The sequence below is a fragment of the Homo sapiens genome, chromosome 5 (assembly GCF_000001405.40).
Source record: "Homo sapiens chromosome 5, GRCh38.p14 Primary Assembly".
NCBI classification, from domain to species: domain Eukaryota; kingdom Metazoa; phylum Chordata; class Mammalia; order Primates; family Hominidae; genus Homo; species Homo sapiens.
The window spans coordinates 55,213,487-55,235,019 of NC_000005.10; the positions used below are offsets into that span (position 1 = coordinate 55,213,487).

Here is a 21,533-nt window from a genome sequence, read left to right on the forward strand (position 1 = left end):
CTTCCCTGTTGGTCTCCCAGGTCGCCAAGGGAGGCCCTGAACCTACCCTGAACCTCTCTAAGGATGAAAGCCCACCTCACTCCCTGCTGGGGAGGCCAAGCTCTAAGAGAAGGCCTCTTGTCTTTTCCCTTCAGGCTTCCATACCTATTGAGACCAACTAAACCTCTCTGGCAGACACTGTTAATCGAATAACACAAGAGTTTTTCCCAGTCTCCTTTTATCTTGCCTGCCTCCTATGGTAATGGCAAAAAGAGTGAGACTCTAGATTCCCTGCCCCCCTTGCAGGTAGGGATAAATATGTAACTCATGAGACTGGAGTGAGAGTCCACGGGGGGCTTCCTGGGAAAATGTTTCGCTTCCCTAATAAAAGTGACAGAAGGCCAGGCGCGGTGGCTCACGCCTGTAATCCCAACACTTTGGGAGGCTGAGGCGTGTGGATCACGAGGTCAGGAGTTCGAGACCAGCCTGGCCAATATGGTGAAACCCTGTCTCTACTAAAATACAAAAAATTAGCTGGGCGTGGTGGCACGTGCCTGTAGTCCCAGCTACTCAGGAGGCTGAGGCAGGGGAATCGCTTGAACCCGCGAGGCAGAGGTTGCTGTGAGCCAAGATCGCACCACTGCACTCCAGCCTGGTGACAGATCAAGACTCTTTCTCAAAAAAAAAAAAAAAAAAAAAAAAACGGACAGAAATAGTGCTCAAAGCTCCTTCCCCCTTCTTTCTTCCTACTTTGAATGCAGGCATGATGTCTGAAGGCACAGCACCAATCTTCTGATCATGAACTATTAAGCATGAGGATAAAGGGCTAACAAGGTAAGGGGATAAAGCAGAAAGGTGAAGGCTGGTTCACCGACAGCATCATTAGCAGCTGAATCAAATGTTAGCAACTCGTGTCTCAGTTTACCATTAGACACGTGTGAAAAATAAGCCCTTATTGTTCTAAAACTCAAGCAAATGCAGTTGCCTCCATCCATACCTCAACTGCCTGGCACAGAATTTCAGAGTACTGGTGCTGTTTTCTGTGAGATGCAGAGATGAAGAAGGGAAAACAGGGGAGGTAGGAGGAGAAAGAAGTATTTGAGAAAACTTGTTTACATGTGTTTTCCACAGGTAGATGCCTTCACATCTCTAATTTTGTCAAGTCCCATAAAGCTCTATGCTGAAGCTGAGACATCATCACTTATGACACAGATTTCAGCCCAAAGCATGCACTTCAAGGAGGACACAATAAGATTAACAAGTTATATGCAATCATATGGGGTACAGGATCCCCCAAATGATTCTTCTTACATTTTGCTCCAAATAGCTTTTAATTAACAATTATTTTACTGTCTTAGTTCTCATTTAGGTAAAACATCAGAGCACAAAAGTATCATTAGTTATTATTGTAAATTAATTATTCAACCAAAAGTGTTAAGTATACAGTATTCTTCTTCTTCTTCCTTTTATTTTATTTTATTTTATTTTATTTTATTTTATTTTATTTTATTTTTTTTTTGAGATGGAGTCTTACTCTGTCACCCAGGCTGGAGTGCAGCGGTGTGATCTCGGCTCACTGCAACCGCTGCCTCCCGGGTTCAAGCAATTCTCATGCCTCAGCCTCCCAAGTAGCTGGGATTAGCATTACAGGCACCCACCACGCCAAGCTACACTGGCTAATTTTTATATTTTTAGTAGAGACAGCATTTCACCATGTTGGCCAGGCTAGTCTCAAACTCCTGACCTCAAGTGATCTGCCCTGCTTGGCTTCCCAAAGTGCTGGGATTACAGGCGTGAGCCACCCCGCCTGGCCTTACTCTTATCTATGACCTTTCAGTTAATGAGAAGAATTAGAACTAGATCCTAATCTCTTTGGCCGCATATAAAGGTCAGTTGGATTGAGCTTCCTGAACACATTCCATAAATAATTTTATTCAGACTCTTCACATGCATCTTTAATATCAATACTTTCATCATCATTGAAGCCCCTATCAGAGTCATTTAACATCATTTTCAAAGCACACTATTGTCACTTTCAACTGTTTGAAATATAGCTCTTTTTCAGATCACCTAAGGTCAGGAGTTCGAGACCTGCCTGGCCAACATGGTGAAACCCCATATCTACTAAAAATACAAAAATTAGCCGGGCGTAGTAGCAGGCACCTGTAATCACGGCTACTAGGGAGGCTGAGGCAGGAGAATCATTTGAACCCAGGAGGCGGAGGTTGCAGTGAGCCAAGATCGCGTCATTGTACTCCAGCCTGGGCGACAAGAGCAAAACTCCATCTCAAAAAAAAAAAGGAAAAAGAAAAGAAATAAAAGCCCTTTTTTGGATCTGAATATGAGTTTATTATTAAAAACTTAATCCTAAATCACAAGAATCTTTGAAGAACATTAGGTCAGTTGGTTTTTGCTTTAATCTTTTTTTGTTTGTTTTGAGATGGAGTCCTGCTCTGTCACCTAGGCTGGAGTTCAGTGGCACAATCTTGGCTCACTGCAACCTCCGCCTCCTGGGTTCAAGTGATTCTCATGCCTCAGCCTCCCCAGCAGCTGGGATTACAGGTGCCTGCCATCATGCCTTACTAATTTTTTTTGTATTTTTAGTAGAGATGGGGTTTACGCCATGTTGGCCAAGCTGGTCTCGAACTCCTGACCTCAGGTGATCCACCCGCCTCAGCATCCCAAAGTGCTAGGATTACAGGCATGAGCTACCAGGGCTGGCCTGCTTTAACCTTTTAAAAATAATCTTTAAAAGGCTTCTTTACAACAGTGGGTCTCAAAGTGTGGTCCCAGACCCCAGCATCACCTGGGATCTTGTGAGAAATTCACATTCTTAGGCCTTACTGCAAAATTACTGAATCAGGAAATCTGGGGATGGGCCCAGAAAGCTGGGTTTTAATAAGCTCTCCAGGTGATTCTGATACACACAGCAGTTCGAGAGCCACTACTTTACAATAACATCTCACTGTTGCAATTATGAGGCCATGTCATTAATAATAATCTAGTTAAAATGTGTGTACCTCTTTTTTTTTTTTTTTTTTGAGACAGGGTTTTGCTCTTGTCACCCAGGCTGGAGTGCAATGGTGCAATCTCGGCTCACTGCAACCTCTGCCTCCTGGGTTCAAGCAATTCTCTTGCCTCAGCCTCCAGAGCATCTGGGATTACTAGCATGCGCCACCATGCCCAGCTAATTTTTGTACTATTAGTAGAGATGGGTATTTACCATGTTGGCCAGGCTGCTCTCTAACTCCTGACATCAGGTGATCACCCACCTCGGCCTCCCAAAGTGCTGGGATTACAGGTGTGAGCCACTGTGCCTGGCCACTGTACCTCCTTTTTAAAACTGATTTTACTTTCATAGAAACTTCTAGAAATACTCTGTGTTAGCTAAAACAGTAACTCCTGTCACATCTTGTCTCTATACCTTGCTTTATTTTCTTTATAATGTGTTAAATATCAGACATCATCTATCTGTTTAGTATCTGTCTTCCCCCACTAGAATGCATGCTTCATGAGGCAAGCACTTGTTTTTTGTTCCTGGTTGTCTTCACAACAACTAGAACTGTACCTGGTCCTATTGGAAATGAAGTGATTATTGAGGTAATTTCAGGCTAACACATATTCCTGAACTAGGGTAGACCACACAGGCCCAAAGACTACCTACTATCGCGCTGAGCTATTTTTGTTTACAAGATTCTGACACCAAATATGTCGGGGGTTTTTCCACACCAACAACCAGTTCTCCAATTCTCCGGATACAACTGGGTATCCTGTAATTCAATTCAATTCTGACACTACCTAGAGTTATTGTCAGATTCCACACATTTAAGGGCTTAGTCCACAAAACTTCCTTCACTTCAGATGCCAGTCAGGTGCCTAGCATGCCCACATTTCTGACTTGGCTACAAAGTCTAGGGTTCCCATAACACCCCATTAGATTTAATAACTTGCTAGAATGGCTCACAGAACTCAGGAACTCATTTTTTTACTATTATTTGTTTATTATAAAGGTCACAACTCATAAATAGCCAAATAGGAGAAATGCACTTGGCAAAGTATGGTGAGGGGGGCACAGCTTCCATGTCCTCTCTGGGCACACCACCCTCCCAGCACCTAGATAGCTTTACCAACTTGGAAGCTCTCTGAACTTTATCACTTAGGGTATTTTATGGAGGTTTCATATTGATTAAATAAATCATTGGCCATTGGGATAACTCAATCTCTAGCCCCTCCCCTCTGCCCAGAGGTGGGGACAAGAAGCAGAGGCCGAAAGGCTGAAAGTTCCAACCCTCTAATCATGACTTTTTTTGTTTTTTAGATGGAGTCTTGCTCTGTCACCCAGGCGGCTGGTGTGCAGTGGCATGATCTCAGCTCACTGCAACCTCTGCCTCCCAGGTTCAAGTGATTCTCCTGCCTCAGCCTCCCAAGTAGCTGGGACTACAGGAACTCACCACCAAGCCCAGCTAATTTTTGTCTTGCTAATTTTTGTCTTTTTAGTAGAGACAGTGTTTCGCCATGTTGGCCAGGCTGGTCTCAAACTCCTAGGTGATCTGTCCACCTTGGCCTCCCAAACTGCTGGGATTACAGGCAGTGGCCACCATACCTAGCCATTGCTTGGACTTTCTAAAGACTAGCCCCCATCTTGAAGCTCTCTAGGGGCTCTCAGACACCAGCCATCTCATTAGCACATACAAGACACTCTTAGCTGTGTAGTGGCTCAGGCCCATAACCCCAGCCACTTGGGAGGCTGAGGCGGAAAGGGAGGATTGCTTGAGGCTGGGAGTTCAAAACCAGCCTGGGAAACATAGCAAGATGGCACTCATCACTGGTTAGAGTCCAAGGATTTTAGAAGCCAGAAGCCAGGAACCAGAGACAAAGACCAAATATGTATTTCTTATCATGCCACACACAGAATTATCTAATTCTCTATCCTTACTCTTCATAGCATGTATATATTTATTTGTTTGGTAGTTATGTCTTCCCAGGAGAAAGTAAGATCCATGAGGGCAAGATTTTTGTGTTTTGTTATTTTGCTGTTTACTTAGTATCTGTATTACTAAGATTCTCGGTAATAATCAATAAATATCTGTTAAATAAACAAATGAATCTAATTTGTAAATTCTACTACTGCTAACTAATTTAGTCACTTGTGCCATTAGTCCACAAGATGACGCCCCAACCTCCAACCTCCCACCCCAACCCCTGCCTCAGAAGTGAAAGATACTTAAGCAGTTCAAGTTACCAATGGCTAACATGACAATTACAGGGATATAATCTTAAAGGCAGGAAGAAATGTAATTTTAAAAACTCCAGTCATAAGACATACAGAAAAAAACCTATATATTGAAAACTTTTTGGTTATTTGTTATTAAAGCATTATAAGAATACTCATTAAGGAGAGAGGAAAAGACATGACAAGCTGATTGTTTTGGGGGACAGGTTAAGAGGTTGGAGGGAAGTGATTTTTTGTTTTTTCTTATCCCGAACTGTGGTAACTTTATATTTGAGCTGATGAAAAAAAATTCTGGGCCATCCACTGTACTTTTTAAGAGTCCATTTGTTAGACAAAATATGAGGAAATATGGTCTATTTTATCAGCTTTTTTTTTGGTTTCTAAATGGCTATTTAAATACAGATAGCAGTACATACATGACAAACTGGAAGAGCAGGTTCTGCCACGCTGCCAAGTCACCTGTTACCTGATATCTCCTCTCAGAGGGCAGAACCAGCAATGCAGTGTGGCGTAACACAGCTGGAAACGTGCCCAAGCTGGGCCGCCAAGTGCAAGAAGTAGACTTCATGTTAAGAACTGTGAAGGTCAGGACAAATCACTACTTGACATATGCCACTCATATAATTTCAGAAATGAGTAGGAAAAAGAATCCCAGACAAAAGGGAATAGAAGTCAAGTCAAAGTGAAGGCACACTGACTTTTTATAGTTAACTTTTTCTTACAAGTTATATAAATCAAGCCAAGAAATGTAAAATATGATTGTGCACCCCAGTTTTATCTGTGCAGTTCAAATAGGTAGTTTTACTTTGATCAAGACTTCCACACTTGATTTCTGGCAAAAAAAAAAAAAAAAAAGGGAACACTCTTTTTCATGCGGTATATGCTATTTTCTTAAAACAATATATATTTCTCATTAACACTGTTTGCTTATAGGTGGTTATTCTATTTGCACAAATAGAACTGTATGGATAATGAATATAAACTGTTACCATAAATCTTCTAAATTATATGAATGATCATTACAAACAAATGTGCTTAGCACCTATTTTGTTGATAGCCCATTGCCTCTGAGAATCTGCCTTTTCCTAAGACAACTGTTTGGGTTACCTCTCCCGATTTCGTATTCTGGCCACCAAAATAAAAATTTTCAATAGTAACAAAATTAGGTGTCCTTTTAGGACGAGGGAAGTTGAGTGATGTATAAAAACATTCACCCAGAAACCAGGCTTCTGGGCCTAGAGTCCTTAAGTGACTAGTTAAAGTGATTGAAAGGTTCCAGTGTTTCCCATTGCAGGAAATTACTTAATCTCTTAGAGCCTTCTTTTCCTTCTTATAATATTAGAGCATTACATAATTATAAAAGTAACTATGGTTTCTAAATCCTTCCCTGCTCTAAAAATACATAATTCAAAGCTGCTAAAAATAAATACTTTTAAAATTGGCTGTGACATATGTGACATATACATATATAAACAGAGTTTCACTGTGACAAGGGGAGGGGCTATACAATGTTTTGTAGCAGAAATTTACAATGCATCGGTATCAAGATGCTTTTGTTCCTGAAAAAGTGTTTCAGGGTGGCATTCAACCTGAAGGCAAAGTTCTGGGAAGCCCCCAGGCACTTCAGTGGAAACACAGGGCAGTGTTTTGGGGGACCACATCACAGCTCAACTGGGGACCCAGCGGAACTTGTAACCCCCGTTGGCTGTTCTGATGGTGAAGGCATTGCCCTGGGGGAAGGCGAGGGTGCGGATGGTGCTGTGGCTGCGGATGCGGGTGCTGAAGGAGCCGCCCTCCTCCAGCTCACTGTGGCTCAGGTTCAACGCGCTCCGGCTGCAGTCTGTGCGCAGCCCCCGGAAGGCGCCATGCAGGTTCCCGGGCCTGGTGTCAGTATTCGCGGGCTCTGGCAGCAGTCGGGGCCGCTTGGGATCGCGGCTCTGAAGGGCTTCATCGCAGCGCTCGGAAATCTCCCTCAGGATGGCGTCCACTTCCGCGCAATCCTGCCCCGCAGCGCTGACCAACTCCTCCAGGCTCCTTTTGGCCTTCGCCTTGAGCAGGAAGGGCTCGGCCGCCGCCCCACAATCCCGGGACTGTGTGATCATCAGCTTCTACGAAAGACAGGGAAGAGCGCCGCCCTGGGGCCTGCCGGACCCTCCGGGTTCGGAGCGTGCAAAAGGTGACCTAGGCGCGCTACGCACCACGCACTCAGCGGTACTCTCCTCTCCCGGGCCCCCACGGGTCCCGATGCTGGGCGGGGATGCACTGAACTGTTCAGTTCCGACGTGCTGCAGTTCCCACACGCCCGCGCCCCACTTACATCCAGCACCGAGGCCAGGTGCCGGGTTCGGCTGGCGAGTTCCTTCAGCTGCACGTTCCGCTCCTTGAGCGAGGCGATCTCCTCCTGTTTCTGGGTCAATGTCACGTGCAGCTGCAGGAGGAGACCCAAACATTCAGGGGTAGGTACTGTGCTGGGTCTCGTCTGCATATCTGGCATGAATCAAACCCAGATCCTGACGTCTCATCAGGAACTGGGGACGCACAGGCATTTACGCTAGTGAGAATAATAATCAATTTACTTTTTTTTTAAAACAAAGCACTTGGACAAAATTTATCTCCATTAATCCTCGGTGTAGCGTGCTGATAAAGAGTACTGACTTGGGCAACAGGCAGATCTAGGTTCTGTCACCGAAGTTCAACAATCCTATGTCTTGATTTCCTTGTAAAACGGGGCTAGTAAGAGTATCTAGCTCAATGATTGTGAGCATTAAGTGGGAAGAAAAAGTATAAATTGGTAAGTCCAGGGCCAGACACATAGAAAGCCTTCAAAAAATATTGGCGTCCCTATTAAAAATCTGGCAGGCACTATGCAATATATGTATGTAACACAACTGCACTTGTACCTCTAAATCCCCCCAAATAAAACTATTTTTAAAAATAAATAAAATGGCCAGGTGCAGTGGCTCACGCCCATAATCTCAGCACTTTGGGGGTTGAGGCAGACGGATCACCCGAGGTCAGGAGTTCCAGACCAGCCTGGCCAACATGGTGAAACCCCGTCTCTACTAAAAATATAAAAATTGGCCAGGTATGGTGGCATGCGCTTGTAATCCCAGCTACTTGGGAGGCTGAGGCACGAGAATGGCTTGAGCCTGGGAGGCGGAGGTTGTAGTGAACCGAGATCATGCCACTGCACTCCAGCCTGGGCGACAGAGCGAGACTCCGTCTCAAAAAAAAAATGAATAAATAAATAAAAATTAATTAATAAAATAAAATAAAAATCAGGTGGGGTAGAATTATTCCCACTTAACCAATTTGGAAACAGGTGGAGCCACCGGAGCAATGGCAGCTACGTGAACCACCAGTCAGTCCACTGGTTCCGACTCACAGGACCTCATCTTCTCCCTTGCAAACCCCACTTCCACCCTCTATATCCTGTCCCTGCCCCAGGATTCCTGGTCGCCAGACCAGTGTCCCTACTTGATTATTCTCAACAAGCGCGTCTCCCAACGCTCTCTGGTTCTGGTCCGCCACCTCCTTCCAGTATTGCTCAGGCGGGGGCACGTCTGGAGGGCGCAGCGGTGGTGACTGCAGGGCCCGTGGGTCCAGTGGCGGGGAGAGGCAGGGCCCGAATGGTGATATGTCGCAAGGAGAGAAGGGGAAGTCTCCGCTGGCCAGGGTAGGCGACATCATAGAGGATGAGTCTGGAGAAGAGCAGGAGCTGGATTTGCAGCCTCAAATTCATGCCCAGCTAGTTACAGGAGCAAAATGCCACTCTGGGTGTAGGGTGTATGTAGAGATTTTTCTTTATTAAATTAAGCACCCTTACTCCTAAACGCCTGATTACGAGGCCCTTCCTGATAGCCTGTACATACACAGCAGGTATCCAACATATGCCTGTTAAGTTTACCTGAATTCAATCAAGAACACTTCCCTGGGCCTGCACGTCACACAGGCCTTCGATACCCTGCACACTCGTCACTCAACCTCCCCTGCCACACCACAGCATAGGGCTCCCTCTCCCAGAACTCACACCGATCCCAGATAAAGCGCTATGTAGATCCAGCGGTTCGACTTCTCCACGGGGGAGAGAAATGTCCTAAATATGGAAAAGGCTGACTCTTTGATGAGTTGCTGGAGAGTCGTTGACAGTTGGCTGGGTTTACCACCTTCACGACCACGAAATCTGAACTAGTCTGATTTGGGAGTGGGGGACACCCCCGCTGTTATTTAACTGCCAGGAGACTGCACTTGCCTGAAATGAGATCATCCACCGTGTCTCTGAAATCTTGCAGATTGAAGTCTGCTTCCGTTTGGTGGGAATGGTTCTGAAAAAAACCAGAGGTGTACACTGGTTAACGAGTCTGGCGTTAGAAAGCCTTCAATAAATATTGGCGTCCCTGTTAAAAATCTGGCAGGCACTATGCAATATATGCACGTAACACAACTGCACTTGTACCCCTAAGTCCCCCCAAATAAAACAATTTTTGTGGCGGGTCCGGAACCCTTTCTAGACCAACAGACCTCCTCCCGGGCTCGGCGGCGGTCTGCTCGCACTTACGTCGCCAGCCCAGTCTCGTACCCGAAAATTCAAGCCCCATCCGAGACAGGGAACCCAGCAGGCTTGCACTGCCACGGTGGGGAGCGGGACGCACGGAGCACGACACTGACTGGGGGAAGGGGGCAGCAGTTCGCGGCTCCTGCAGAGCAGCTGCGTGGCGGGAATGGGTCCTTCCACCGGCGGTGCGGCGGCCCTGCGCCGGCTCCGGGCAGCCGAGTAGCCCGCCACCCACCAACTAGCTAAGCAGCCGCCTCTGTGAAGCTCGGCGGTTCCCTGTGCGCCTGCGAAATTTTGACTCCGACTCACCAGCGACCGGCCACCGAGCCGCCGCTGTAGGAGCTGAGAGCACGTCTTGAACACCGGATCTTTCCACCCAAGACCCGACAGCGTGCAGGGGCCTCGAGCAGTAATTTGAGGCCGCGTTTCCCGCCAAGGTTTGGCCCCAGCTAACCGCCCCACCCATGCAACCGAGCGGGAAGAAAGCTGTGATTCGAGGGGCCAGGAGAATACGGGAAAAGCTTCTGTTCTGCGCACAGCCAGTGCGGCCTCCATTGCTCTTTCAGTTTCCCAAAAAGTTGGGAGTACTCTTTTCTCGTACAGCCGGTGCACCTCCAACATTATGAACTGTACTCTCCCGGCCTCCTGCAGAGTGTCTGGGTGTGTGAGAGGAAAGGAGACCCTAAGGGGCTGGAGGCGCATAGGCCTTCTTGTTCCCTTAATTCATGGACATTTAGAGTTGATAAAAACGCTTTTACACAGTCTCTCAGTTCATCCTCATACCAGTGTGGGAAGCGGCAGGGGCCTAACTGATTCCTCTTTGAGGAAGAATCTGAAGCTCAGAGAGTTACCCAGTCACCCAGCTCTGAAGTAGTGGAATAGGGCCTCCTGCCTCCATACTTCATTTCCTCTAGCTTTTCTCTCTTTTTAGGAAAGCTGGCTTCCACCGAAGACAGCACTGGGAAGGGGACAGGAGTCTCAAGGGCCATGGTAAGAGAAGATGCATCCAATAGCCCACCAGAAAGACCTTATTATACTGAATGCACTGTTGATTCATTCCTTTGCGCTCATCATACTGTTATCCCCAAAGCCCTTCTTTACTATTAAAATATTTCTGGGAAGAGGAACTTACTCTGCCCCTAACTTCAAAGAATGTACAAGTATCAGTTTTCCCTTGGGAGAAAAGAGTCAAGCAGGGAGGCCTCTAGCACCTCTGCCACTAGTTGGATGCTGAGACTATAAGAGAAAGGAGATGAGAAAGGAAGGGCTGAGGGCCCCAGACAAGTCCTGGAGCATGAGTGCTGCCCTGGTTGAAGGGGCTCATTCTTCAATAACTGGAAGGTCTCCTCCTGGGTAGGGATTTGAGAAAAGTCTCATGAGGAGACTGGAGGCCAACTCAGGAACTGGGGCCCTGGAAATGCTACCTCTTATGCCAATCCAGGTGTTGGTCCATTCTGAACCTCAAACATTTCTAGAGCACTTCCTCTCTCTGTCCACCTTTCCCAGCAGGAAAGGAATGGGGAAATGTGATCTGAGTGTCCCAGGGGTCTCCCTGAGTGTTTCTCCCCTGGGGGCCTCTTTCCTCTGAACTAGCTCTGTCTTTCCCAGGAAAATTCCTGGATTTTTTGGTCCATCTGATGTGAGCTCTGTCCTTGAAACTTCGAGGCTGGGCATAGTGGCTCATGCCTGTAATCTCAGCACTTTGGGAGGCTGAGGCAGACAGATCGCTAGAGCACAGGAGTTCAAGACCAGCTTGGGTGACATGGCGAATCCCCATCTGTACAAAAAGTACAGACAAACCAAAAACTAGCTGGCCGTGGTGTGTGCACCTGTAGTCCTGGCTACTTGGGAGGCTGAGGTGGGAGGATCGCCTGAGCCTGGGAGGTCCAGGTTGCAGTGAGCCATGATCATGTCACTGCCCTCCAGTCTGAGTGACAGAGTGAGACCTTGTCTCAAAAAAAGAAAAAGAAAATAAACAAAATGAAACTTTGAATTCTACCTCCCCAATTAGATAAATCTGGCATTTCTCCAACTACAAATGCAAGAAAAAAATTCTAACAAAGAGCATGATGCCAAATGTAGAATCTGTATACTTAGACAAACATCCAATGAGAGCTGCTTGGGTTTTGTTACTTGCACAATAAACATGCTGGGGTAAGGGAGTGACCTAGGCCTCTGGGTCAGTTGGAAGATACTCAGGCATTATCTTTCCTTATTTGATCATCCAGATCTAAAAAGAACAATTAAATGTCCTCTGCAGTGCAGTGCCCACTCCCAACTCTTGCCTTAACAATCTCTGCTCTCAGCAGCCACCTAAACTGAGTGTCTCTGGGCTCTAGCCCAAGGTTCTAGGAGGCCCTTGGAGGAGGGCTGAGTTTTGCTCCACCAGCACTCCCAGTTCTGGGAGGTGGTCAATTCTTTGTAGAGTTCCATACTGGGCCTGTCTGCAAACCCCAGACCTATTGCCAGCAAGCTGAAACTGGCACTTTTCCTGGGGGTTGCATCTGTTTAAGACCTCCTGTCCCTCTGGGCACTTCATGTCCTACCCATGAGCCAGGCTTCTGGCCTCCCAGACACCAGTGCTGGGAGACTCCCTTCTCTGCCTGGGAAGCGTCAGCACCAGCAAGTGGCGGAAGTGGGATGGGAGCAAGAAGACAGGTTTTGGGGAAAAGAAAAAAGTCAAGTGCCTTTTTGCCCCATCACGGCAAGTGACTAGAGCTTTTCGAAGGGCTGAACAGGACTTTGAAAAAGCGCCCAATTGCTGAAGGACTGTCTCTGCAGAGAAGAACATTTTCTGCAAGATTACTTCCAGAGTCCTTTGTCCTTCCTGCTTCTTCCAACTGCAAATTCTCTTGCTCTTTTCCAGTCCTGATAGAGAAGTTATCCATCAACCTCCACTCTTCTTATATACCCACGGAATGAAAATGGCCAGGAAGGGGGTGTTGGGAGAACTGATAGGAATGCAACAGGTTCCCAGTGCGCAACTTTGCTCCCACCCACCCGCCTGGTCTCTCAGTGCGCAATCTTGTCACAGCTCCAAAGAGTAGATAGGGTGGGAAATAGGAGGGGAGGCCTCCAGATGAGCCCGACTGTATCAAGTTGGTCAAATCAGCTCCAGTGGATATGTGGTCTTCATAACATACTAGGATGCAAGTAGAAGTTCTGATCTGGGAGGCTCAGGTGCCTGCACAATGCTTCCCCTCACCAGCTGAGTGTGCCTGCGCTCCCGACCCGAGAGGAGCTTTTGGGGAATTAAAACCACCACCCCGGAGGAGGGTTTGGGTTGCGTGAAACCACGAGGCTCCACGAGAAGGGGAGGTACCTGCGAGGCGGCCAGGTCACCACCAGGCGGCGCGTCGGACCCGAGTAGCGAAGAGCAGTCAGCGAGGTCCTGCAGGTCTATGGTGGTGAGGGCTGCGCGGGGAGACCGGGAGACACGCGCCGGGCGGGCCCTGAGCCTCTCCGCCAGGCTCGCAGCTAGGACGTCAGAGCCCGGGGGAGAGAAGCTCCTCCGAGCTGTGCGCGCCGCACCCTCCCGGCGCGGGGAACCCGAGGGGTAGCGTGGGTGCCACGGGGCTCACCTGGCAGCGCTGTGGGCTCGGCGTCCGGGGGATCCTCGTACACCGACACCGGGCTCCCGCCTGTGCATCCGGGGAAGAACTTCCGCGGAGGAGCGAACTGGCCGGGCACACAAACGTTGAACGCGGGTCAGCCCTCGGGGCACCGAGCGCGCAGACCCCGCCCGGCCCGAATCAACCGCCCCACCTTCCTCTCCGGCTTCCCCGGCTTGCAGAGCAGCGCCCGGCCCGGCAGTGCCAGCATTCTGTTGGGGCAGATGCTGTCGAAGGCCCGACGGCCGGCCGCGCCGCCCCCGCACGCCTGCATTGTGCCTCCTGCCTCCGGGTGCCGACTGCTCGGAGGCGGCGGCCCGGGCTGGGGCAGCGATCCACACCCTGCACTCCCTTCAGTGCCTGCAGGCTCCGAAGCCAGCCAGAGGTTGGGGCAGGCGCGTGACCGAGAAGGAGCCGAGGGGCTGCCGAGGAGGTGCTGAGAGATGGCGGGGGAGGGGGAGGACCGCCGCGCGGGAGGGGTGGCTTGCGCCTGAGCGCCAGAGGTGGCGCCTTCAGCCCGGGACAATCTGCGCGCGGGCGGAGGCGTTAAACCCAACCTGGCAACCGGGCTTCCCCCGGGAGCCGCCAGCGCGGGGCCCCGGCCCGCCAGCGCCGTTTCGGCGAGCTTTGGCGCCGCCGCCTCCCGGACGCGCCAGGCGAAGAGAGGGAGAAGGAGGGGCGGGCAAACGCCGGTCTCCCTCGCCCTGGGTACCGTCTTCCCGCTTACAGACAGGGGGAATGGCAAAGTTAACGATTATTTCCTTTTCTTCCCACTCCAGCCACAAGGCGCACGAAATAAACGTGGAGTGACACCCGCCAGCGCTAGACTCCGGCCTTTGCGCTCCTGCAGGATTTAGTAAGGATGTAGAATACCGGCAGGGATGCCCTGGAACAGCCCCCTTATTACAGAAGCCCCTTCCCTCAAACCTGAACCTTATCCTGGGTCCTGACTTATGGATTTCCACGTGGTCTCTTTTGGCCTGACGCCAAGAGCCCGCCCCGCTCCCCAAGCCCCGCACTCTTCTCGGCAGTGGCGCGTGAGCACAGCCTTTAAAAGACCGTCCGTTAAGAAAAAGTGACACTACGAACCCTCCTCCACTTTCTGAAAACGCCACAGTGGAAAGTACCGAATCCCCGAAAACCCTGTTCCTGTCTTTCCTAGTGGCCTCAGCGGCCCATCGCCACGTTTGGCTGGTCTCTTCGCAGTCGTAGTTGCCATTCCCAAGCCAACACCTCTCCAAGGAATGGGCATTTTCCTGAGTCCGAGGCATCTCCTAGGGAGGGGCATCCTTAGGCGAGGGACCTTTCTCAGTACCACTCATATTCATCCAATTTGAACAGTCGTCTGAAATTGGAATCTTTGTGTACCCACCCCCCTATGTTGGGCACCTTGTTTTCCCCTTATACCTAGTAGTCGTAGTGAAAGAGCCTCTAGTAAGAAACAAGATACCCTAACAGCGGTGGAAGGTAATCCAATGGTAGAGCTGGAATAGAGTGAGAGACTCTCTGACCCAGGAGTAGATGCAGAAACTGAATTGATGTGAGGTCAGCCAGCTAGAGTTGGTGTGGTATGGCTCATGGTGAGGAGCTCTGGCTTTAGGGTCAGAGTGCCTGAGGACCAGGTCCATGAGCCCTAGGTCTTTAGGAAAAAAAGTTACACTGGCCTCAATAGAGTTGCTGTGAAGATGAGTGAGATTATTTATGTAAAGTGACTGGTGCTTAGTATGGGTAAATTAGTGATTTTTTAAAAGCCTTTTCAGCTGTATTTCCAGCTTCCCACAACTTGTTCCTAGCCCTGTCTCCTGTTTCCTCTGGTTTCTGAGTAGCACGACCACTAGCCAGTCCATCTCCATCTCCATCCCCATCCTCACCCACTTTCCAGCCTTTAAAATGAGTAGGGAAGCTCTTAGCTGAGTTTTGGGGCGATCTCCACACATGCAGATCGTCACAAAATTTCCAGGATAGGCCCATTTTCCAAATATTCGTCAATGAGTTCTAAGTTGGAGTAGACAAAAATATGGGCATTGCACATTATCTGTTGTAACAGGAACTGGAATAGCATGATTATATGACTCCTAGTGTGGATGATTCTGGAACCAGTAACTCATAGCAGTCTTGGCTGATTAATGGAGCAGATATTGGTGAAGACAACTCCGCGCAAAGTCACTCTTTTGCCTGGGGACCAGACCCCAACCCCTTACAACCAAGCAGAGGGCCCTAATAATTTGTTATTTGAAACAGGTGATATGATCTTCCTCCTCCCTTTTCACCATCACAGAGCAGCTTTTACACAAATAGCTTGGGGATCACCACGTCCTTCTTCCACAGCCAAGGAGGAGAAAGTTCCTAGAAAGTTTAGCATAGCAATATGTCAGAAGAGGCATTCAAGGGGCCCAGAGTAAGGCACTCCTGGCTCCGAGAACACCTGGAAGACACACTTTGAGAGAAGTGCAAAGAAGTTTCTCTAAATTTGAGTTTGCTTTTTATTTGTATTTGTCATACATTTTGATATACCCTAGGTGCAGGGGAACATGACAGATTTTCCCCCAAAAAATTATCACTTTTTTCAACCATACAGAAAATTTGAAAAAACAGTACGATGAACAACCATATGTTCAACCCCACACAAATTGTTATTTTCCCATATTTGCTCTCGTTTCTTTGCTCCAAGTTTTTCTGCATAGCCCCTGTCCTCCCATCACTGTGCAGGTTACCACTAGCCTTTATTTCTTGAGGGCTTCCTATGTGCTGGGGGACCAGTATGGACCATCTCATTAGAGCTATACTTCCACCCTACTAAATAGGCCCTATTGATATTCCCATTTTATTTTTTTATTTTGAGACGGAGTCTCACTCTGTCGCCCAGGCTGGAGTGCAGTGTTGCAATTTCAGCTCACTGCAAGCTCCGCCTCCCGGGTTCACGCCATTCTCCTGCCTCAGCCTCCCGAGTAGCTGGGACTACAGGCACCTGCCACTATGCCCAGCTAATTTTTTGTATTTTTAGTAGAGATGGGGTTTCACCGTGTTAGCCAGGATGGTCTCGATCTCTTGACCTCGTGATCCGCCCGCCTTGGCCTCCCAAAGTGCTGGGATTACAGGCGTGAGCCACCGCGCCCGGCCGATATTCCCATTTTATAGATGAAACGTAGGCATAGATATGTGACTTGCTTAAGGTCACCTGGCAAATTGGATACAGAACCCACTTACTGAATCACTATACTACCTTATAACACGTAAACTTAATCTCATTTAAGCTTTTCAATCTCATTTAGACTGACAACAACCTTGATATCAATTGTAGAGCTCAGAGAGGATATGAAATTTGCTAGAGGTGACAGAGCTGAGAGATTCAGTGCCTGCATCAGATTCGTAACAGTGAGACTGAAGACAATATGACAGGCGGAGTCAAAACTCCGGCAAGCCTCTGTCTCATTTCTCAATTTGGTTTTCTCATCTGTAAAACGATTCCTGTAACGTGACTGAGGTACAGACTGCGCTGGCTCTCCAGATGTGTTCTCTATAGTCCCTACTGAATGGGGAGCACTGAGTAAATAACTGCCACCTATCTCAGGAAGAGGGTGTTTTGAGAATTACCAGAAACCTGTAAGTGGGGGACATTTAGCAGTGTGGCTAAGAGTGGGACTCTAGACTCAGATCCCGGCTACTCCACTGTTGTTTAATGGTTCTGTGCTCCAGCATCCTCCTCTGAAAAATGGGATAATAGACTCTGCTCCATAGAGTTGCTGGAAGAATGAAATAAATGCTGAACACAGTACTTAGGACATACTTAATGCTCAATATAGCCATTATGACTATTATGCCAGTTACTTTGGGCTCACATGTCGTAGCATGAACAGTTGGACCACGTGATTGCAGGGTAAATGGGCTCAACCTGCAATGGCTGTGACCACAGTCAAATCCTTGGTTTCCAACATGCTCCATTTGAACACGGGATTTCTCATGCCTGGATATGGCTTTCCCCCACTTCTGCTTGTGTGCCTGTGTGGTCCCCAAAGCTTCCCAGCCCCACATCTGCCTCACCAGCAAGTGCAACCCTCTGGACAGCATAGAGGTTCTATTCGAGGGTCACAGGACCCAAGCCATCAGGTAAGCCTGACTCCACTAATCTCTGGAATTCAGTATCCAGGACCTCACCTGACCTGGTGTTTCCACAGAGATCCCAATTACAGAGTGGACCCAGAGGGAAGGGAAAATCCCGCAAACGTTGCCAACCACCATTCCTGAGCTGAATTCACCTTCCCTCCCCGCAGACAGACACTTGCAGGATTTAGACAAACCACAACTGTTTATTGGTGAAAGACTCAGCTTCCTCATGTGCTCGCTGCAAAATAAATAAAATACCAGATGCTAGTATCGTACACTATTTACAACCTGCAGCTGACCAAGCAGGTCCTGAAGCCTTCTCTGTGGACCAGTACTGCACTCTTCTGAGGCTACGGGAGAGGTCCAGCAGCCGGGCCAGGGACTAAAAGGAAACGAAGGATCTGTTTTATTTCGAGCTCGGGGGCAGGCTGCACTTCTCGCAGATCTGAACGGGCAGCATGTGAGTCAAGGAAGTACTGTTTATGGCCACCAGCAGCTGCAACTTGCCCATACAGTCCTCCAGCGCCGCCTCCGGGTGGTCTCCCAGTCGCAAGTCCACGGGCCGCGAGACCCGCAGCATGCGGTCCGCCAGCGCCAGGCAGCAGATCGCCAGGAGGGAAGGGGAGTAGCTGGTGAAGGCATAGTCGGCCAGACTCAGCTCTGCCACCCCCCGCGCCAGGGCTTGCGCTTCCAGAGCTTCGGAGGCCTCAGCCTGCCCCGCCTCCACGCGAGCGTGCGTGAAATGCTCCAGGAAGAAGCTAATGGTGGGCGCACCCAGGGTGAAGTGCAGCTTGTGCAGCACGATGCACTCGAGGTTGCAGAGCTGCTGCCGGGAGAAGGCGCCGCAGCAGAGGGCCAGAAGCTGCTTCACGCGCGGCGGGTGCACCTCCACCTGCAACACAGGGCGCACTCAACCCCGCTTTGCGGCTTCCCGGGCCCCAGGCCCACCCCAGTATGACGCCCGGACTTTCCCCATCCCTTCCAGAGAGACAGCCGGGGCTCTGCCTCTCCACTGCTTCCACGTAAGTGACCTAGAGCGTACTTCCAGCGCAGTTGATCTAACTACTGTCCAACTAAAAAAAAAAAGCTTGGGAAATTTTGAAGGCTTTTTCGGAGGCTAGACTAGAGGTGCCAAAAGAGCTATTTGGGACTGATTACAGCTATTAGTCTATTAGGCTATTTCTTTGGAAGCCGAGTGACAGGATTTTTCGTTTGTGGAGAAATTGTGAAGTTAAGGCTAAGGGATATATGCGTATGCAAATGTCTGATAAAATGAGTTCTGGGAACCCAGCACTGAATCGTGCGCGCTGGAAAGACGGGCGGCCAGGGAGTGGCGGGGGAGTTTGGCTGCGTCCCCAGATGCCGCGTGTACCTGTTTGATACCCCAGGTACCTGTTTGCAAGCGATGAGCAAGGAGGTGACCCCAAGCAGCTGGAAGCAGTCTGCAGCCACCGGCGTGGTGGTGAGGAAGCGGTCCAGAGTGTTCACCGTCAGGCACAGCGACTCGAAGGAGAGGCCGAATTGGCGGTGCACCGGGATCAGCCAGCTGAGCAGCTTACAGCGGGATTCCGCCGTCACCTGCCGGGAAGGAGGGGGGAGGCGGGCCCGCTGGGCTTAGGGTGGAGAGGGACTGTGGAAGGGAAGGAAGGGCCAAGAAGAATCGGGGAGCTTCCCAGGAGAGGGGCAAGAAGATTTCAGAAAGAGAAACGCAATGGAAACTGGGAAACGCGTGGGCCGTGCTGAGCCGGAACACCGGGATTGGGACCTGGCGCTGTGCAGAGAGCGTCGTACACGTTACCTCGCGTAATGGGCTCAGCAATTCAAAGGAAGGGGAGGGGTTCCATTTTGCAGATGAAGAAAGAAGCTCAGGGGTGTTAAATAACTTGCCCGAGTTCGGTAGGAGTCCAGACTCAACCCGGAAACGAATTCCTCTCTACCGTGCCCCAGTAGCCAGCTTGGGACGGGGCAAGTCCCTCAAGCCGTCTACGCCCCACTTTTCTCCATCTGTAAAATGAGGCCGGTGACGCCCCTCCACGGCCCCTTGTGCTTCGACTCGGGGCGGGACCTGGGCTGTCGCGGGCCCGGGCGCTCGGAGGGCCGAGCCGGCAGGAGAGGAGAGAGCCTGGGAGGAGAGGAAGAGCGGCGGCGTGGAGCTGGCTCTACCAGCACCTCACTTGTGGCTGCCGTGCCAGCGCCTCCCGCGGGTGGAAGTGGCTCTCCTGCGCCTTGCGGAAGGCGTAGCAGCTCTGGCCGTAGTCGCGGAAGGTCTGTAGATCTAGCTGCGCCACGGGCTGGGCCGGGCCGGGCAGGGGGCTACCACCCCGCGCCGCAGAGGGGCTCTCTGCGCCGTCTGAGCCGGAGCTGGGGGACTCGAACAGGTCGCAAATGCCGGAGTCTCCCGGGAGCGGGCACGGGTTCAGGGGATGCAGCGGCTGCTTCCTCCGGAGGCGCGGACGCCTGCTCTTCTTCACCGGGGCGCGAAGGTTCTGGTCGTTGTCCCGCCTCCCCGCTCGGGCGGCGGGGCTCGAGGGGCTGGTGGGACAGGGGGTCACCATGATGCGGCCGGGTGGCCGCTTTACTACCTTCAACGCCCGGGCTGCGGCGGGCAGCAAACGCGCACTCGAAAGTGCGAAGGAGGCCGGGCTCAGAGGCTGGCGCGGTCCTAAGTACCCGGCCGGCTCCTTCTCTCTACCACACCCCCGGCCTCTCACTGGCTGAGCCCAGAGCGGCACCGGAGCCGCGATTTTCCGGCTGGAGAACCACTCGCCTCAGGGCGCAGGCAGCGCGTCGCCTCCGCGGCCCGCCGGGGGGAGGGGGAGCTGCAGCGCGCGCCAGGCACCCGCCTTTCGCGCCTGCGTCCTGCGTTACCTGGGCAACCGGAGCCCGGGTCGCTGCGGGAGCCCGGGTCACTGCGGAGCCCGGGTCACTGCGGAGCCCGGTGCACGGAGTGGGAGTAGGGCTGCGGCGGGCGCAGCCAAGCGGCTCCGCTGCGCCGGTTAAAACATTCTCCCAGGGGGCATCTCTCTGTCCTTGGCCAGATGGTCTCGACACGTGCGGGCACCTCTAACCCAGGTCGGTAATTTTGTAAAGGTCTGATCCTGAGTTCCAAACGAAAGTCGGGCTAGAATTCTGTCGACACGGGAAAAGTTTTCTTCAGTGACCCAAACAAGCAATAGTGTTAATTCGGTTGCGTTTGTCGGTTTTGTTTCGGTGGGTACCGGAGTAGCCAGTGCCCTTCCTTCCGCCAGCCTCGGGGAGCAGAGCCTCAGAAGGGCCGTTTGTGCTGCGGAATAGATTGGAGCTCCACCAGCCAGCCACGCTTTCGCGCTCAAAACAAAACGGAAAACTGCCGGATCAACCTCAGTCGGCAAGCAAGTCTGCAGGCCGTGAAGACTTTCTCCCACACTTTTCACCCCAAGCCAAGCAAGCTGGGGCTACAGCGGTTTAAGAACATTGTTGGAAAGTTGCATTTCGAGTTTGATCGAATTGCTCACAGCCTGTTCCGTTTTAGGTCATTAGCTTCTGGCCTTCTGCCCCGCCGGCAGCCCAGTCCTTGGTTTTTCCCTGCTTCCTGCGTCCGCTCCTTCAGGGTGATAAACTCAGGGAAATTAAAGCTGGAATGGGGACGCCCAGGCCGACCGGGCGTGGCAGTTTCCTCAAGGCGCCTCGGGTTTAGTCCACAGACTCCCGTCCTGGTAGAAGCTGGAGCCCTTCTGTGGCCTGAGTGAATCTTCCTGAGGGTCTCTGACCCTATAGGAGAAGGGGCTGCAGGAGCACAAGTAGCCCATAATCAACCTCACAGGCACTTAGCAACGGCAGAAAGCTCAGGTACCCTCAACCCTGGTGTTTTCCAGAGGCGAGGCTACTGGGTGCCAAACCAAGAGCAGGTTCAGCCACCTAACCTCATTCCAGAAGAAAGCTGATAAATGTGTCTGCTCAAAGTACAAGTTTCTGTCTATGAAAATTTAGTAGATGGTGGGATGGTGTCTCCTAGAGATGCAGGTGAAAGAAAAGGAATGGATTTTGGGTTCTGACCACTGTTCCTCCTATT

General features: G+C 50.5%; 2 protein-coding genes and 2 long non-coding RNA genes across 7 annotated transcripts in view, besides 12 other annotated features; 2 read left to right on the forward strand and 2 right to left on the reverse strand.

Annotated features, from left to right (window-relative positions):
- Nucleotides 6,078–13,829, reverse strand: MCIDAS (multiciliate differentiation and DNA synthesis associated cell cycle protein). Its single transcript, NM_001190787.3, has 7 exons — nt 13,533–13,829; nt 13,349–13,445; nt 13,090–13,181; nt 9,465–9,537; nt 8,690–8,913; nt 7,530–7,640; nt 6,078–7,320 (listed from the first exon to the last, which is right to left on the reverse strand). The coding sequence occupies exons 1-7, from the start codon at nt 13,650–13,652 to the stop codon at nt 6,880–6,882; spliced, it is 1,158 nt and encodes a 385-aa protein (NP_001177716.1). The 5' UTR covers nt 13,653–13,829; the 3' UTR covers nt 6,078–6,879.
- Nucleotides 7,412–7,471: an enhancer, noted in NCBI's record as "active region_22551". NCBI's record gives its function as "activates an Ori minimal core promoter by ATAC-STARR-seq in GM12878 lymphoblastoid cells {active_cell/tissue: GM12878}" and the evidence as "EXISTENCE:reporter gene assay evidence [ECO:0000049][PMID:35858748]".
- Nucleotides 9,075–9,369: a silencer, noted in NCBI's record as "tiled region #9706; K562 Repressive non-DNase unmatched - State 22:ReprW". NCBI's record gives its function as "represses a minimal TATA promoter and a strong SV40 promoter by Sharpr-MPRA in K562 cells {active_cell/tissue: K562}" and the evidence as "EXISTENCE:reporter gene assay evidence [ECO:0000049][PMID:27701403]".
- On the forward strand, nt 13,132–17,153 carry LOC124900978 (uncharacterized). Its single transcript, XR_007058773.1, has 2 exons — nt 13,132–13,811; nt 14,158–17,153. It is a non-coding gene; the product is annotated as an uncharacterized LOC124900978 (long non-coding RNA).
- Nucleotides 13,579–13,648: a silencer, noted in NCBI's record as "silent region_16010". NCBI's record gives its function as "represses an Ori minimal core promoter by ATAC-STARR-seq in GM12878 lymphoblastoid cells {active_cell/tissue: GM12878}" and the evidence as "EXISTENCE:reporter gene assay evidence [ECO:0000049][PMID:35858748]".
- Nucleotides 13,699–13,848: a silencer, noted in NCBI's record as "silent region_16011". NCBI's record gives its function as "represses an Ori minimal core promoter by ATAC-STARR-seq in GM12878 lymphoblastoid cells {active_cell/tissue: GM12878}" and the evidence as "EXISTENCE:reporter gene assay evidence [ECO:0000049][PMID:35858748]".
- Nucleotides 13,999–14,088: a silencer, noted in NCBI's record as "silent region_16012". NCBI's record gives its function as "represses an Ori minimal core promoter by ATAC-STARR-seq in GM12878 lymphoblastoid cells {active_cell/tissue: GM12878}" and the evidence as "EXISTENCE:reporter gene assay evidence [ECO:0000049][PMID:35858748]".
- On the reverse strand, nt 17,666–20,122 carry CCNO (cyclin O). Of its 4 annotated transcripts, none has more exons than NR_125347.2 (3): nt 19,652–20,122; nt 18,875–19,060; nt 17,666–18,374 (listed from the first exon to the last, which is right to left on the reverse strand). NR_125347.2 is itself a non-coding variant. In NM_021147.5 (3 exons), the coding sequence occupies exons 1-3, from the start codon at nt 20,035–20,037 to the stop codon at nt 17,889–17,891; spliced, it is 1,053 nt and encodes a 350-aa protein (NP_066970.3). In that variant the 5' UTR covers nt 20,038–20,122; the 3' UTR covers nt 17,666–17,888. The 4 variants fall into 4 exon arrangements, 1 of the variants encoding a protein (NP_066970.3); NR_125346.2 differs by having other exon boundaries at nt 19,281–20,122; NM_021147.5 differs by having other exon boundaries at nt 19,657–20,122.
- Nucleotides 18,301–18,940: an enhancer, noted in NCBI's record as "H3K27ac-H3K4me1 hESC enhancer chr5:54527615-54528254 (GRCh37/hg19 assembly coordinates)". NCBI's record gives its function as "activates a minimal SCP1, AML or CMV promoter by ChIP-STARR-seq in naive H9 embryonic stem cells {active_cell/tissue: H9 hESC(naive)}" and the evidence as "EXISTENCE:reporter gene assay evidence [ECO:0000049][PMID:30033119]".
- Nucleotides 18,341–18,420: an enhancer, noted in NCBI's record as "active region_22552". NCBI's record gives its function as "activates an Ori minimal core promoter by ATAC-STARR-seq in GM12878 lymphoblastoid cells {active_cell/tissue: GM12878}" and the evidence as "EXISTENCE:reporter gene assay evidence [ECO:0000049][PMID:35858748]".
- Nucleotides 18,941–19,580: an enhancer, noted in NCBI's record as "H3K27ac-H3K4me1 hESC enhancer chr5:54528255-54528894 (GRCh37/hg19 assembly coordinates)". NCBI's record gives its function as "activates a minimal SCP1, AML or CMV promoter by ChIP-STARR-seq in naive and primed H9 embryonic stem cells {active_cell/tissue: H9 hESC(naive and primed)}" and the evidence as "EXISTENCE:reporter gene assay evidence [ECO:0000049][PMID:30033119]".
- Nucleotides 19,729–19,808: a silencer, noted in NCBI's record as "silent region_16013". NCBI's record gives its function as "represses an Ori minimal core promoter by ATAC-STARR-seq in GM12878 lymphoblastoid cells {active_cell/tissue: GM12878}" and the evidence as "EXISTENCE:reporter gene assay evidence [ECO:0000049][PMID:35858748]".
- Nucleotides 20,055–20,349: a silencer, noted in NCBI's record as "tiled region #6084; HepG2 Repressive non-DNase unmatched - State 4:PromP". NCBI's record gives its function as "represses a minimal TATA promoter and a strong SV40 promoter by Sharpr-MPRA in HepG2 cells {active_cell/tissue: HepG2}" and the evidence as "EXISTENCE:reporter gene assay evidence [ECO:0000049][PMID:27701403]".
- Nucleotides 20,055–20,428: a biological region, named in NCBI's record as "Sharpr-MPRA regulatory region 6084".
- Nucleotides 20,219–20,428: a silencer, noted in NCBI's record as "silent region_16014". NCBI's record gives its function as "represses an Ori minimal core promoter by ATAC-STARR-seq in GM12878 lymphoblastoid cells {active_cell/tissue: GM12878}" and the evidence as "EXISTENCE:reporter gene assay evidence [ECO:0000049][PMID:35858748]".
- CCNO-DT (CCNO divergent transcript) overlaps nt 20,408–21,533 on the forward strand; it is a 61,409-nt gene continuing 60,283 nt past the window's right edge. The window contains exon 1 of the long non-coding RNA NR_185977.1: nt 20,408–20,554. This is a non-coding gene — a long non-coding RNA (CCNO divergent transcript). The remainder of the gene's footprint in view (nt 20,555–21,533) is intronic.